This window comes from Homo sapiens, chromosome 7 (assembly GCF_000001405.40).
Source record: "Homo sapiens chromosome 7, GRCh38.p14 Primary Assembly".
In the NCBI taxonomy this organism is placed as follows: Eukaryota; Metazoa; Chordata; class Mammalia; order Primates; family Hominidae; genus Homo; species Homo sapiens.
In genome coordinates, this window is record NC_000007.14 from 61,081,791 (window position 1) to 61,099,133 (window position 17,343).

The following is a 17,343-nucleotide window of genomic DNA, read 5'->3' on the forward strand; positions in this document are numbered from 1 at the left end:
CATGGGCACTAGTCGGTGGAGTGAGTGCCAGCAGGCACATTTCTTGACTCCCGCAGCAAGAGAGCATGTCACTGTGGCGTCTGGGGGTTGTCCATGTGCACTGTGTGGTCTTTGGGGTGAGTCAGGTAGGTTGTATCCAACGGTTCCATAGCTGGTAGTCACCACGAGGAGGCAACTGTGTAGGGTCAATATCTGGGCCAGCCACACTGAGGAACTGTGAGGGTTAGATCTGGAAATTGTCAAGGGAATATGAACCCATCTACCATATGAGAGAGTTCAACTTATGTTCAATGTGAATATCATGGCAATATTAAAAGGGAAGAATTCGCTCCATACGTGCTTGAGGTAAATAGGAGAAACCTAGAATTTATGTAAACAGTGAGAAGATTGGATGCGTTTTCCGTCTCATATTTTAATACTAGCAGCATATTATATATGTCAATCCATCAGGCGTTCAGAAATACATGCTTATGAGAATTTTTTGCACCATCAGACAAAAGACAAGGGTAGAAGACATGTGTAACCCTATAAACACTAGTAAATTAAAAACAGAAGGACCTTTATGTCCTAACATATCTGTGTTGTGAAAGGCTGCCCTGTGAAATACGGGATATCTTAACATATTTTAAAAATCATAGGTGCCAATATTTTTTAGAAATCCACTTAAATTTTCTCTTGCTATTTTACAATGCCTATTTATTTATTTATTTAGTGGCTCTGCTGATTTTGATGTATATCCTAAGCTTTACATTTTCTTTAAAAGATGTTTTATACAACTTTTTGTAAAATGTTTCAGTATCTTCAAATTCTCTCCCTGTCCTTCTGTTTTGCTCTTATATGGTGGTCTTGAGTCTTTTATCTGGCTTTTCAAACCTAGTAAGACTAAGACACTGAAGTAACTTTGCCCGTGGTTTGGTAATGCCTTCTAAAGCACATCCTAAGCTCTCGTGCATACAGGGGTCTCCTTTGAGCTCTGTGCTTTTGAGATCCCATATACCAAAATTCCAGTACTCCAAATCAGTACTGCTCAGTTTTAGTGACTAAGTTTAAAAATGTATTTTAATAGGAAGTTAGTTTAGTGCACTCTTGCTTCTTTCTTGACTGTTTGTATACATGTATATTCCTTTAAATGAATCTAGGAATTTATTTAAAAGTGTTAAATTATACTAATGAAACTGTATATGGTTGTGAATTCATAAGTGAATCTGGAAAGAATTTGTCTTTATGATACTAAATCCTTTTTATCCAAGAATCATATGTCACCTTATATTTATTCCAGTCTATATTTATATCACTGAGTAAATATATAGAAATGTAGATACATACAGCTGTAGTTATAGATACAAATATAGATATAACATGTTAAATCTATATCTATCCCATATAACATATATACATGTTATATGTGTGTGTATATATATATGTTTATGTTATTAAAGAGCTCCCTTAAAATTTTTCTTTTATTTCCCATATAATTTTAGGTCGAGCTTGAATTTTCCTTGTATAAAGAAGCAAATATTTATACTACTTTTAATAATGATGTTTAGACATTGTATCTTATTTTAGCACTGAATATTTTCACAATTATTATAAATAGTATCTAATATTAATAATGTACCTGTTAAAAATATTTAAAATTTTACCTTTGAATTATTTTATTGTTGAATTAAAATTCCTTTAATATGACAGTCAATTTCTATTTTATGCTTTCTCTATGCATATGCAAATTAATCTATCCACTTCTCTATCTCTATGTAGTAACATGAAAATCAGGTCTCTATTCTTCTAATGGACATACACATGTTTGCATATAGAATATCAGACCCTTTATAGCATTTAAAATCTTTAAAGACATGAATATTGCCTTTTAACGAATATATTTTAGCATGTACTGAGAATCCCCTATTTATTTTTAATTTGGGCTAATCAATATGATTATTAATATTATTGGATTACCAAATTTGGAAACACACTTTCATACCCAAGGTGGATATTTGTTTTATTTTTTTTGCCAATTTCTTGTCTTACTGTTTCAATATTGTTGGATATTATTTTTATTTTATTTGGCATTTTTGTATCAACATTTGTAATTGAGGTACTCTACATATTTTTTCTTCAATATCTGGTGGGTTTTATAATTACTGCTATATTGGATTTGTAGTAGACATTGACAAAAATTATTCCTGTATGTTTCATAGCTGTATGAAAGAAACTAATATATTTTACCCCTAAATATATTTCCTTGATATATGTCAAAGTGGCTATTGAGAAGGGCTGTAAATGCAAAGTTAGCTGCAAAGCTGTCTTGGGGAGATTTGCATCGGTAGAGAATCTGCCTTGATGCAGCCAGGCTTTCTCTGAGGTCTGCCCCTTTGTCTGGATCTAGGAAAGCTTAACTGAGAATCTGAGGTCTCCAAAGGTCTGAAAGAAACATTTTCTGTCTATTCTCTCTGAGGACTGCTCCCAGTGAGGTTCCACCTATGTAACAAGTCCACTGTTGCTAGCCAGGGTCGTTTTCACACATAACCTATTTTTTTTTTCCCTGTGATCCAAGACCCCATTCTTTCTGTAAACTTCATGTGGTAGATAAGCTTCTGCACGCATCATGTGTCTAGGTCTTCGTTCTAAGGGCCCCAGTGTACACACATTGCAGAAACCTGTATGCCTTTTCTACTATTTATCTGCCTCCTATTAGTGATTTTCAGGGAAACTTCAGAAGGCAAAAGGGACATTCTCCTTTAGCCTATTCTCAGACAAAATCCCCCAACATTTAACTGATTCCTAATAGTTTAAAATCACTTTGAAAAATCGATATATTTATAACCTTTTCTTCCCTCTATGATTTCTGGTCAGCTTGGGTTTTGATTTTCATTCCATTTACTTCATCCTCGAAAAGATCTATTTTACGTCTATTTATTCTCATTTATGGACATTGAGAAAAGAAAATAACTTTCATGAGAGAAATGCAAGTCCTTTAAATAATCAGGTCCAGAGAGATACTCAAATGAGACAGAAGTTCTGTCCTGCTCCTCTTTGAGCTGTGTGTTCATCTAGGCTGCTTGCTGTTGCCACAGTAGCTATAAATTAACCAATAATGCCACATCAGACACTAATCCACACCCAATAATAGTGTAACAGTGTATAGCCAGTCACTAATAAATGTTATTTCCATAAGCCAATGAGAATTTGTGACAAACCTCTTTACATCATCCCACTTCTGGACCCTTTTTTGCCTTTAAGAAACTGCTTCTTGCAAAGCTCCAAAGGGAGTTCATATCCAAGGATACTTGGGTCTGTTTCTTCCAGGCAGCTGTCCTCATTGTGGCTCAAGTAAACTCTTTGAATTACGTTTTGTGCTTCAGCCCCTTCCACTTAGATTAACAACATGGATTTGTGTCACCATGTACAGCAATTAAAATGTTTACACTTTTCCCCTCGAGGGCACTGATGTGTTTTCCTGAGCACTTGGAATAGCTACGTAGTGTTTCCTGTCTAGATTATGGTTTCTCAACCTTGTTGCTACTTACCTTTAGGACCAGAGGATTCTTTGTTGTGGAAGGCTGCCCTAGCAGTGCTAGGTGTTTCGTATGACCTCTAAATTTCACACCTCCACCAGTCTTGACATCCCCACAATAACCCTAGATATTGACAAATGTCTCCTGGGAAAAACTCTCCACCAGTTGACAGGCAAAGTTCTGGAAATATTGGAATTGTCAATTGAGATTTAATGTTATCCAAAACAAATATTTTTCTTTGTTTTCAAACATCTACTTCCATCTACTTATCTACTTATTTTTACTTTTATTTGTAACTTAAATCCATCAAGGAGAGAGAGTGCATTTTCTGTTATGCTAAATTTTTGCAGAATGTATTGATTTTTTAGGACCTGATATATGGATGATATGTAGATATTACATGTTTGTATTATCAAATTTCAGGGTGATAAAAAATAAATACTTATAATATTTATATTGTCACTGTATATTAGTTATTTTCTTTCTTCACTACAGGAGTTTTTCAACCTATAGGCTATTTTTCAATTCTAGGTTATCCAGTAGATGTTGAAATGTTGTGATTAAATATCTACTTCTCAAGCATTCATCTTTGCAAATGAAACAATCCCAAGCTCTTATAATACACCTCATATAAAGGACAGATTAGTCAATATATGGTTCAGAAATAATTATGTAATATTTATAGAAAATTAAAAATTTAGATCCTTAACTCAGATAACAATAATCCAAATTAAAATTTGATTTCATTACATAATTTAAAATGACACCAGAATACTAGTAAAAATGTAGATAAGTTTATGTAATCTTTTTAGCTGTAGGACTTTATTAGCATAAATTCAAATACAGGAACCAAAGTAAGATTGAGACCTATAGTCAAAGGTTAAAATGTACACATTATAGGGACATGATTAAACTAATTTAAAGCATGATAACATGGAGAAATATTGCAAAACATACATTTTACTGAATTAATTGTTAATATCTAATCATTATGTGAGAACAAAATTAAAGAGTAGCTACACACGCACACACCCACATACAAGTGCAATATTGTCAAATAAACGATGTTCAGCTACACTAGAAATCACACCTGTGTTTTCTCCACAGAAAAGATTAAAAATCACAATAATATTTATTGTACATATGGAGGTAAAGATACTCAAAATATTACCCTACATTTTTTTTTGAGATGGAATTTTGCTCTTATTGCCCAGGCTAGAGTACAATGGCACAGTCTTGGCTCACTGCAACCTCAGCCTCCCAGGGTCAAGTAATTCTCCTAGCTCAGCCTCCCAAGTAGCTGAGATTACAGGCATGCACCACCACATTCGGCTAATTTTTGGTATTTAGTAGAGACGGGGTTTCACCATGTTGGTCAGGCTGGTCTCCAACTCCTACCTTCAGGTGATCTACCCACTTCAGCCTCCCAAAGTGCTGGGATTACAGGCGTGCACCTGGCCAGCTTTTTGACATATTTCAAGATGGCTACTCGGAAGACTGGTGATAGCTTCTTCTACAAGAATAGCTGAAAAGCTGTGTTTGTTGGGAAGATTGGCATTTGTAGAGAAAATCTGCATTCATATAGACAGGCTTTCCCTGAGGTACTCCCTTGTTTGGGTTTAGGAAAGATTAACTGAGCCTGGCACATTTACATTTTTAAAAACCATTTCCTATCTATACTTCCCAAGAGGAGGGCTGCTCCCTCTGAGGTTTCATCCATGTAACAAGACCACCTCTGCTGCCAGGCTCCCCTTTCTTCCTTGTCGTCACCTGTCTTCCGCAAAGCCTGATTTACCAACCTACAGCTCTGTGTTTTCTGTAACCTCAAGACAGCATAGGTGTGTTGAATACCTTGCCTTTCCTGGAGTTTTTATATATATAGTATATATTTGTATATCTATTTATATTATACAAATATTTGTATAGATATATTTATATACATTATGTAAACTCCAATTGCATACTTGTGCACATATCTGTAAACCTTTGTTTCCTGTTAATTTGTACATTATCAGTTTGTTTTATAGACTCAAATAATTAAAGCTTCAAGGGAAAAATTTAAACTTTCCTATAGAGAAAAGACAAATATATAGGTGACAAATAATATTTAGAGTGTAAGACACTTTTTAAAGGTATATTTGCAATTTGTGTCAAAACATTTAAATATGCATTTGTTATTTTAACTATATAATTTCAAATAATTTAAGCCAAATACATAGTATATGCAGAAAATTTAGCAATATATCTATGTAGCACCTTACTGTGCATTACTGTAACCAGCCGTCTAAAATAATTATTTAAGGTAGCAGCTACTTTTCATATAGTGCATTTTTTTCACAGACCTTTTAAATAGGACAAATAACATTCAAACTTTATTTTTAAATTTGCAGAATAGTAGTTTTCAGCAGATGGTTTATTTTAGCAAATTCCATCTTCACATTGTGCTATGCTTTTATGAGTTCCAGCTGTTAACGGATAATATTTTACTGCTGAAACTATCATGTGTGATATAAGTGCTCATTATGTGCCTTAAAACACAAGCAATATAATTATTTTCAACTTGGAGCAAATTAAAATCTTATCAGCAATTTAAAAACGCTAGAGTCGTCTTCTTCTTGTTAATTATTTTAAACTTGTATTTTTCTCTTTAAGGTTTTAGTGAGTTGTCTTATCAAGGAGAAGAACTCAAGCTGATTATTCTTTTTTTTCTCTTCCATCCACCTCGCAGGTGTGTTAGTAATTTCATTTCTCAGAGAAAGTTCTGTCATATCCATCTTACAAGATGAGAGACCTTTTAACATCTTCCATTCAGATGTGATACAAGTAATGGAAAATATTCCAGCTTCATGAATATGGTGATAGAAATAGTTATCCTTCTAACCTCTTTCAGTGCCAAATGTTTACTTTACTCAGTGAATTACTCAGTTGACTTGTAATTTCTCCTGAAATCACTAATGAGAGGATCAGAGGTCTGGCTGTGGTCTGTACCTCATATGACTCCCAGCGCAGACAATTGTTTCTATGGAGCACAGACAGTTGAAAGGATTGACTTCCTGCCTAGAATAGTTTCTGCTTTGCTTCTTATCCTTCCTGTGGAGATTACAGAATATCTGAATTGCTTTTCTCTCTTGAGAAAAAACGCAACAATTCTCCCACCGGAGAGGAATGTAAACTGTAGTAAGTTAGCAGAACCAATCCGTAAAGTTTTTACATTGTTTGTTGCAAAATGCCAAAATGCAGAGCTGGTGTCTCCATCACTAAACTTTTCTATCCCTCATTGCTCTTTCTTTGACTGCAATAGGATACCTCTAGGCAAATCTGTTTTCCCGAGACAGAGTGCCATTTTGGTGAGCTATAAGCACACTCGATGGTAGGCTGAAATACTAGCTTTTATCTATGGCAAAATGGAATCATATCAGTGATTTTTTTAAAAAGGAAATTTAACTCTTGCTATGGTTTGAATACTCGCCCCTTCCAATCTCATGTTAAAATTTGATCCCCAATGTCGCAGATGGGGCTTACTGGGAGGTGTTTGTACATGGGGTTGGAACTTCATGAATGGATAATACCCTCCCTAAGAAATCTAAAGCTATCCTCCCTCCTCGGTGCCCTCAGGAATGAGTGTACCATTCTTTATTCACCTATAATTCCCCCACCCATTCTTTTTGAGATATTGATTACATGTATGTTACACTGCTGGATATCGTCTGACGTATCAGCGAGTTTCTGGCCTTCTTATTTTAGTTTACCCTTTGTCCTTTAGTTTGTAAAGCTTCTATTTTTTTCTATAAATTTTCTGATGTTAGGATAAAATCCATTACTTGTTCTATCTCATGGAATTTTTATTTCAAATATCTATTTTTCATCTATACATGTCACATTTTTCATTTTATAACTTCTATTTTTCTCCTATGTTCAATTTTCATTTAAGTACCTTGACATATATACGTATTTATCTATATGTATTTATAAAATATATTTAATTTAAGGACCTTGAAATTTTCCCGTTTTCTGTCATTTATAAATGACTTATTTTTATCCTGTTAATATATATCTTAATTATATATATCTTACGGCTTCTTTGCATGTCAGAGTTTTTTTTGGGTATTTTGATGTTATGCTATTTAATATCTACATTTCATTGGCTACCTTTGAACAATGTTGTGGCAGGGAATTCAGTAACTTCAGGATGAGTATTTGTTGTTGTTTTAATTCTTCTCTTTAAACTTTGTTGAGTTAGTCTAGAGCCATCTGTAATTTGGAGCTAAATGAGCACTGTCACTAGGGCATAAACCTCCAGTTGTCTTTACTGAATATCCTGGAGGTACAGAGGGGATTCCCTTCTCTGATTAGAATTTGGAATATAAAGAGAAAAGAGAAAAATAGAAAGCTATGCATAAACACGTGCATTAAAATGAATTTTATGTGGGCTTTTTCATGAAAATGTTCCTAAGGTATTTTTTTTTATTGTGGTAAAATGCACATAACATAAAATGTACTCTTGACCATTTTAAGTGTACAGTTCAGTGGTACTAAATAGAGTCATAACATTGTGCAGCTGTTATGTTCTCCATAATTCGTTTCATCTTGTAAAACTGAAACTCTATACCCATTAAACAATACTTCCCCATTTCTTCCTCCCCCCACCTTCTGACAACCATCATTGTACCATCTCTATAATGCTAATCAAGCATAGTGGCTGTGTTTCTTGCTTCCTCTAGTCCGCAGGTAGCATACAAATGTAATAAACTACTTATTCATGTCACATCTATTTATTTTCTGCCTTATACCAAGCTTGTGGGATTCTCTTAAATACAACATTTTTCAACTTACACCTATGCAATACCCATTAGCATCGCCTTCCTAGATCAGGGGAAATTGAGCCTCTGTAAGGTGGAGTAACTTCCTAAGATATAAAACTCAGCATTGAAGTCTGTATACTTCAATATCCTGCCCTCTTCTCATTTGTCTTTACTGCCTTTTATGTATGTGTTAGATGTTCAATAAATTCTCTTTTTTAAACTGAATTTAAGCTGTGGAGCAGTGTTTTGTTGAACAATAAATATGATATAGGACACTCTTCCTCCCTTTCATTTATGATTCTGTTCATGAAAAAGAGAAATTCTTTCATTGTGCTAGAAGTTTAAAATAATGAAAATGCCACTTTCTACATTAAACAGAAACTGAAGGGAATCAAGGTGAATTGCATGAGACATAGAAAACAAGTGGGAAAGAAATCTAGTATAATTTGCCCTTTGTGTACCTTTATTATTTAGAGTTTGAGTAAATGATTCCCCCAAATATCTTCCCATCTTAATTCATGTCTCTAAAGTAGACATTTATGTCTTACCTTGTCAAGAAGGGCAAACTCTAACATAAACATTTCCCAAAAATGCTTCCTGCTAAAACGTAAGCTCAGTCTGGCTAGAAATGCAGCTCACTTCATAAAGATTAACTGGTAGCTAATTTTGCATGCTGTTCTCTGAACTTGAGTGAAACCTGTCCATCAGGCATACAGGAAATGACAGAAAAGGTGACAACAGAAGATGAATGCTATGTCACTAAACTTCAAAGATAACCTGCCTTTTCTTTCAAATTCTTGATGTCTTAAGACTTCATTAATTTATCTCTCTTTGCCCTTGGTTCAACATTGTGCCATGCCAAAACTCATGTGAAACAATGATCTAATGTAATAAAAATGGCATTTTTCTTTCATGTAGATGCAAGCTAACTGGCATTTTTACAATCCACATATTTCCTTTGTCAATTTTTCATTCTGTATTGGAAGTAATTGATAGGTATTTCTGAAGGGATGAAGGTGATTCTGTGTTCATTGTGATCCAAACTATTTTTAGACCTAGGGGCGTTTGTAAAACAATTTGTGACAGCTGACCAAGGATCACTGTGGCAGAAAGCAGCAAACTTGCATAAGATGTCACTGCCTCAAAAGTTGGCTTTGAAAACTAGGGGCTTACTCTATAGTCTTATGAATCAAAGACATTGATAGATGTAGTGTAAGATTACAATCATAGTTTCCTTTTGACAGTCACATTATAAAGCATGATGTATTGCAATTAATTTCCTTTAGCTGATCACAATTAAAATTAATAATGTTTATTATTGCGGATAAACAATCATGACTCTCCTGTTCTCAAATATGCACATAATTCTTGTAATTTTAATACCAATTTGAATATTATTATTAATTGATTTAATCTCATTGGATTTGGTTCATGGACCCAATTTATTAAAATATTGATAATGGGATAATGACTTGTCTCCCCATTTCATGTAAACTAAAAACAACAATTCTTACAATGGTCTGCAAGCCCATCACGATCTGCCGCATGTTAACCGCCGAAACTCTTTTATATCTTCACCCTTGAACTTACCAATGGTCCTGGCCACCTCACTGTCCTCTGGACATGCCAACATGCTGCTGCCTTATGACAAAGACTCTAGTTAATTTCTTGTCTTGGAAAGATAGCCCTCCATATATCCATTCATCAGCTCATTCAACTTCCTCAAGTCTTTACTGAAACTTCACATTCTCGATGAGGCCTATTCAGTATTTCAAACTGCCTCCCATTTGCAACATTCCAAAACCCCTTACTCTTCTGTGTATTTTTGAAAGGATTTATTGAGATATAATTTACATAGTGTAGAGTGCACACATTAATGTCTACAAGTCAGTGGCTTTTAGTATATGCACAGATAAGTGGAGCCATCATCACATTGAATTTTAGAGCATTTTCATCACTTCAAAAAGAAACCCCACCTTCTCTAGCTGTTAACCTCCTATGCACCCATCCCCTACTCAATCCTAAGCAACCACAAATCTGTTTTCTGTCTCTATAGATTTTCCTATTCTGTTTTCATCTAAATGGAATCATACAATAGGTGGCCTTTTCTGCCTGGCTTCTTTCAGTTGGCATAATGCTATCAAGGTTCATGTACGTATTGGTACTTTATTTCTTTTTATAACTGTATAACATTCAATTTCATGGATAAAACATTTGTTTATCCAATAATATTTTTATTGACATTTGAGTTGTGTTCAGCCTTTGGCTATTTTAAATACTGCTGCTAAAAATATTTGTGTACAATTTGTGTTTGAACACCTCTTTCCAATAATCTGGGTGTATACCTAGGAATAAATTTCTGGGTCATATGACAATTCTATGTTTCACATATTTAGAAGCCATCAAATTATTTTCCAAAGTGGCCAGTTCTAGCCATAGAGTATCTAACTGTGGTTTTGATTTGTAGTTTCCTGATGAGTGATGCTATTGGGTATGTTTTTATGGGATTATTGACCGTTCGTGTGTCTTCTTGGGAAACACATCTATTCCTATCATTTATCAGTTTTGAGTTGGGATATTTGTTACTGAGTTAAAACAATTTTTCTATATTCAAGATTCATATATATACAGATATATAGATACGTGTTTTTCAAATATCTTCTCACAATTTTAGAGCTGCCTTTTGACTTGCTTGGTTATCCTTTGAAACACCAACGTCTTTAATTTTTAAGAAATTTTAAATATCTAATTTTTATTTTGTTGCTCATGTTTTTGGTGTTACAGCTATTTCTTTGCTAGATCCAAAATCCTGAAGATTTTCCCATATGCTTTATTCTAGCTCTTGCATGTGTGTCTTTAATTCATTTGAGTTAATATTATTGTATGCTTTGGGGTAAGGGTTCGAATTTATTATTTTGCAAGTGGGGATCTACGTGTACATTGTTGACCCAGTTTATTCAAAGACTGTCTCTTCCTCATTGAATTGCACATGACACCACTGTAAGAATCCACTGACTATAGACACATAGTTTTCTATATGGACTCTCAATTCTCTTCCATCAATCTATATATTTTTCCTTCATCAGTATTGTGTTGTCTTGATTACTGATACTTTACAGTAAGGTTTGGAGCATGGGGGTGTGAATTATCCTAATATGCTTTCTTTTTTCAAGATTATTCTGGCTATTTGGTGTCCCTTACAATTCCATGTGTATGTTAGAATCAGCTTGTCAATTTCTAGACAGAAGTCTGTTGGGATATTTGCAGGGATTTCATCAAAACTGTAGTTCAAATTGTAAAGTACTACAATATTAAATCTTCCAATTCATGGGTGGAAGATGTTTGCTAATTATTTAGATATTCTTTAAACAATAATTTTTAATTTTCAGAGTAAACTCTTGTATCACATTTTCCAAATTAATTATTATTTCTTTTTTTGATGCTATTTTAAATTGAACTGTTTTCTTAATTTCATTTTGGGGTTTTCATTGTAGATGTGTGCAATTGATTTTTGTACATTTATCTTGTATGCTGTAATATTGCTGAAATAATTTACTAGTTCTATCGTTCAGTGGATTCCTTAAAATTTTCTATATACAAGAATGTTATTTTCAAATCAAGTTTTATTTCTTCCTGTTCAATATGGGTGACTCTTATTTTTATAGTTGCCGATTTGCCCTGCATATAATCTTTAGTACAGTGTTGACTAGAAGAGGTCAAAGTATATATCCTATTCTAATCTCTGACCATAGCAGGAAAGCATCCTTTACCATTAAGTTGCATGCTTGCTGTTGGCTTTTCACAGGTGCCATGTATCTGGTGTAGAAAGTTCTCTATTCCAGGTTCATTGAGTTTTTATTTTTATTTTTAATCATTAAAGCATTTGGATTTTGTTAAAAGTCTTTTCCGAAACTATCGAGATGATCATGGAATTCTCGTTTCTTATTCCATGGATAAGATGTATTACCTTAATGGATTTTGGGCTGTTAAACAAACCTGGGATTACTTGTATAAATTTCACTTTGTCATAGTGTATAATTCTTTCATATGTTGCTAAATCTGACTTTTTAGTATTTTTTAAGGAATTTTGCATTTATACTTATAGTAGTTTTATTTTTCTATGCTATTTGGACTAATTTTTGTATCAAGGTAACACTGGCCCCACAGAATAAATTGGGAAGTGAATATTTCTCTCTTTTAAAAAAGCTAGTCAAGAATTAATATCAATTATTCAACACTAACAAATATTATTATTATAAATTATTAATTTCTCTAATTTTTATTTTCTTCCTTCTGCTTGCTTTAGGTTTAGTTTGCTATTCTTTCCAGTGCCTTAATGTGGAAGGTCATCTTATCTCATCCTTTCATTTGTCTTTTCATTTTCTAAATAGTGTCTTTTTAGCATCAGGTGAGCTCCCCAGGTTGGTAGTACTCCATGTTTATTGCTGTACAACAGTGACAGGTAATATGTCCTGAAGACAATGGAATCTTAACATTCAAAATCTCCTAGATTCCACCTTATATGATATGTCTCTTCAATTGGTCCTAATTTCTACCCTTTCTCTATTATAAACCATGAGTACAATGACATTCAATGAGTTCTGTGAGTCTTTCTAGTAAATTCTAGAAACTGAGGGTGTTCAGGGGAAACCCCTGAACTGGCAGTTGGTGTCAGAAGTGAGAATCGTCTTATATGGCCTCTTCCTTTGAACTTTGCAGCTGGACGCAAACTCTGCACAATTTGGGCCAGAAGTCTCGTGTTGACTTTGCAGCCTAAAGTATCTTGTAGTTTGTCTAACCCTCAATAAATATGCTTTCATCAAATATTGTATTTGTTACCCCAAAATTACCATCATGTTTTTTTTTCTCCAAATAACTAACATTGGGAGAAATAGCCAGCTGAGTCTGTAACTCAACAGAAAAAAGCGATCCATATACCATATACCATATAAGTGGCCATTTCATTTTGCCTTCTTCCACCAAATCTTAGCAACCTCAACAATTGCATGAGCCACTGTAGGCCTACCAGCTACAAACAAACAAGTATCTTTTAAAAACACTTCTTACTCCCATTTGATAAATTTCCCAGCAAAGAGATGCCTACTTTAACTCTATGCAAGTGGCTCATATTCACGAAGTCTGTAGATATTATTCAGGTAGTGTGAGAAAATCATCCCAGCGATGCCAGCACATTCTCCTTCCCATGATCTGCTTAGTTTGCAAACATATTCAGGCCATGGGTGAGAGATTTGTATTTCACAGTACAACAATTTTATGGAGGGCATTGAAACTTACCTTGAGCATTTTAGTACAGTCACACGTCACTGAATGATAGGGATACATTCTAACAGATGTATCCATAGGCAATTTCATCATTTTGCAAACATCACAGAGAATATTACAAACACCTAGATTGTACAGCCTACCACGTCTAAGTTATATGGTGTAGTCTCTCTCTCCCAGGTTACAAACCTGTGTACTACATTACTGTACTGAATACTGCAGGCAATAAGAACACAGTGGTAAGAGGTTATGTATCTTGTTATTATGCATGACATGACTCTATGACAAAAATAAAATAACACATTGTAAAAAATGTACACAGGTGTCAAACATATTAATATTGTAAAAATAAAAATATTTATTCAGTGTAAGAATTTGTAATGATCACAAAATATTCACAGCTTATATTTTAGTACAGTTTCAAATGCCTAGTGCAATTACTATTTATTTCTGTGTGTATTTTAAACATGTATATAATAAATATTTTTCAGGTTCAACAATATATATCAATCCAACTGGCTCTTATAAATATTAGTTACAATCAATTAATAAATTCTTATGTATATATACACACGTGTATCAGTCTGTATGCATGTATGTGTGTGTAAATGTAACTGGATGCATCCTAATATTTACCCTTACCTACAAGATTTCTAAGATTCATTTATTATCTTTTGATGCTGTGCATTTAAAGATTTACCAAAGAAAATGCTAATCGTGGAAAATATCAATGTTATTAAATTCATCTTGTGCACATAATTGTTTCTTTAAATTTATGTTTCTTGCAAAACTTGCGGTAATGCTCATGCACAAAATAATTTTCTAAATAAAAAATAAAAACATTTTCTCAGTCATTAATTCTTAATAATTATTTCTCCCCAATAATTAATGTGAATTAATTCTTAATTATATAAAAAGGAAATCTGTTCCCATAAAAACTAGACAGAAGCATTCTCAGAAACTTGTTCATGATGTGTGTACTCAACTAACAGAATTGAACCTTTCTTTTGTTAGAGCAGTTTTGAAACACTCTTTTTGTAGAATCTGCAAGTTGATATTTGGATAGATTTGAGGATTTCATTGGAAACGGGAATATCTTCATATAAAAAGTAGACAGAAGCATTCTGAGAAACTTTTTGTGATGTTTGCATTCAAGTCACAGAGTTCAACATTCTCTTTCATAGAGCACGTTTGAAACACTCCCTTTGTAGTATCTGGAAGTTGACATTTGGAGCGCTTTGAGGTCTATGGTGAAAAAGGAAATCTCTTCCCATAAAAACTAGACAGAAGCATTCTCAGAATCTTGTTTGTGATGTGTGTGCTCAACTAACAGAGTTGAACCTGTCTTTTGATAGAGCAGTTTTGAAACACTCTTTTTGTAGAATCTGCACGTGGATATTTGGATAGCTTGCAGGATTTCGTTGGAAAAGGGAATATCTTTATATAAAAAGTAGACAGAAGCATTCTCCGCAATTTCTTTGTGATGTTTGCTTTCACGTCACAGAATTGAACATTTCCTTTCATAGAGCAGGTTTGAAATACTCCTTTTGTAGTGTCTGGAAGTGGACATTTGGAGCACTTTGAGGCCTATGGTGAAAAAGGAAATCTCTTCCCATAAAAACTAGACAGAAGCATTCTCAGAAACTTGTTTGTGATGGTTGTGCTCAACTAACAAATTTGAACCTTTCTTTTGATAGAGCAGTTTTGAAACACTCTTTTTGTAGAATCTGCAAGTGGATATTTTGATAGCTTTGAGTATTTCGTTTCAAACGGGAATATCTTCATATAAAAAGTAGACAGAAGCATTCACAGAAACAACTTTGTTTTGTTTACATTCAAGTCACAGATTTGAACATTCTCTTTCATAGGGCACGTTTGAAATACTCCTTTTGTAGTATCTGGAAGTGGACATTTTGAGTGCTTTGAGGCCTATGGTGAAAAACGAAATATCTTCACATAAAAAGTAGACAGAAGCATTCTCAGAAACTACTTTGTGATGTGTGTACTCAACTCACAGAGTTGAACCTTTCTTTTGATAAAGCAGTTTTGAAACACTCTTTTTGTAGAATCTGCAAGTTGATATTTGGATAGATTTGAGGATTTCGTTGCAAATGGGAATATCTTCACATAAAAACTACACAGAAGCATTCTCATGAACACCTTTATGATGTTTGCTTACAACTCACAGATTTGAACATTCTCTTTCATAGGGCAGATTTGAAACACTCTTTTTGTACTATCTGGAATTGGACATTTTGACCGTTTTGAGTCCTATGGTGAAAAAGGAAATATCTTCACATAAAAACTAGACAGAAGCATTCTCAGAAACTTCTTTGAGATGTGTGTACTCAACTCACAGAGTTGAATATTTCTTTTGATACAGCGATTTTGAAACTCTCTTTTTTTAGAACGTGCAAGTTGATATTTGGATAGCTTTGAGGCTTTCGTTGGAAACGGGAATATCTTCACATAAAAACTAGACAGAAGCATTCTCAGAAACGTCTTTGTGATGTTTGCATTCAACTCACAGAGTTGAACATTCCTTTTAATAGAGCAGTTTTGTAACACACTTTTTGAAGAATCTGTTGGTGGAAATTTTAGCGCTTTGAGGCCTCTGGTGAAAAAGAAATATGTTCCCATAAAAACTACACAGAAGAATTCTCAGAAACTTCTGTGTGATGTGTATACTCCACTCACAGAGTTGAACTTTTCCTTTGATGGAGCAGTTTTGAAACACTCTTTTTGTAGAGTCTGCAAGTGGATATTTGGATAGCTTTGAGGATTTCATTGGAATCGGGAATGTCTTCACATAAAAACTAGAGAGAAGCATTCTCAGAAACTTCTTTGTGATGTTTGGATTCAACTCACAGAGTTGAACTTTTCCTTTGATAGAGCAGTTTTGAAGCACTCTTTTTGTAGGGTCTGAAAGTGGATATTTGGATAGCTTTGAGGATTTCGTTGGAATCGGGAATATCTTCACATAAAAACTAGAGAGAATCATTGTCAGAAACTTCTTTGTGATGTTTTCATTCAACACACAGAGTTGAACATTTGTATTCATAGCACAGTTTTGAAACACTCTTTTTATAGAATCTGCAAGTGGACATTTGGAGTGATTTGGGACCTATGGTGAAAAAGGAAATATCTTCACATAAAAGGTAGACAGAAGCATTCTCAGAAACTACTTTGTTATGTGTGTACTCCACTCAGAGTTAAACCTTTCCTTTGATACAGCAGTTTTGAAACACTCTTCTTGTAGAATTTACAAGCGGATATTTGGACAGCATTGAGATTTTCATTGGAAACGGGAATATCTTCACATAAAAGTAGACAGAAGCATTCTCAGAAACTTTCTTTTGATGTTTGCATTCAACTCACAGAGTTGAAACTTTCTTTTGACAGAGCAGATTGGAAACCCTCTGTTGGTAATATTTGCAAGTGGATATTTGGACAACTTTGAGGCCTACGGTGGGAACGGGTATATATTCACAAAGAAACTAGACGGAAGCATTCTCAGAAACATCTTTGTGATGCTTGCATTCAACTCACAGAGGAGAACATTCCTTTACATAGAACAGTTTTGAAACACTCTTTTTGAAGAATCTGTAGGTGGAAACTTGGAGCATTTTGTGGCCTTTGGTGAAAAAGAAATATCTTTACATAAAAAGTAGAAAGAAGCATTCTCAGAAACTACTTTGTCATGAGTGTACTCAACTCAAAGAGTTAAATCTTTCCTTTGATAC

General features: G+C 34.0%; 2 annotated features.

The window, feature by feature from the left end:
• Positions 15,067-15,769: an enhancer, noted in NCBI's record as "OCT4-NANOG-H3K27ac hESC enhancer chr7:61079582-61080284 (GRCh37/hg19 assembly coordinates)". NCBI's record gives its function as "activates a minimal SCP1, AML or CMV promoter by ChIP-STARR-seq in primed H9 embryonic stem cells {active_cell/tissue: H9 hESC(primed)}" and the evidence as "EXISTENCE:reporter gene assay evidence [ECO:0000049][PMID:30033119]".
• Positions 15,770-16,473: an enhancer, noted in NCBI's record as "OCT4-NANOG-H3K27ac hESC enhancer chr7:61080285-61080988 (GRCh37/hg19 assembly coordinates)". NCBI's record gives its function as "activates a minimal SCP1, AML or CMV promoter by ChIP-STARR-seq in primed H9 embryonic stem cells {active_cell/tissue: H9 hESC(primed)}" and the evidence as "EXISTENCE:reporter gene assay evidence [ECO:0000049][PMID:30033119]".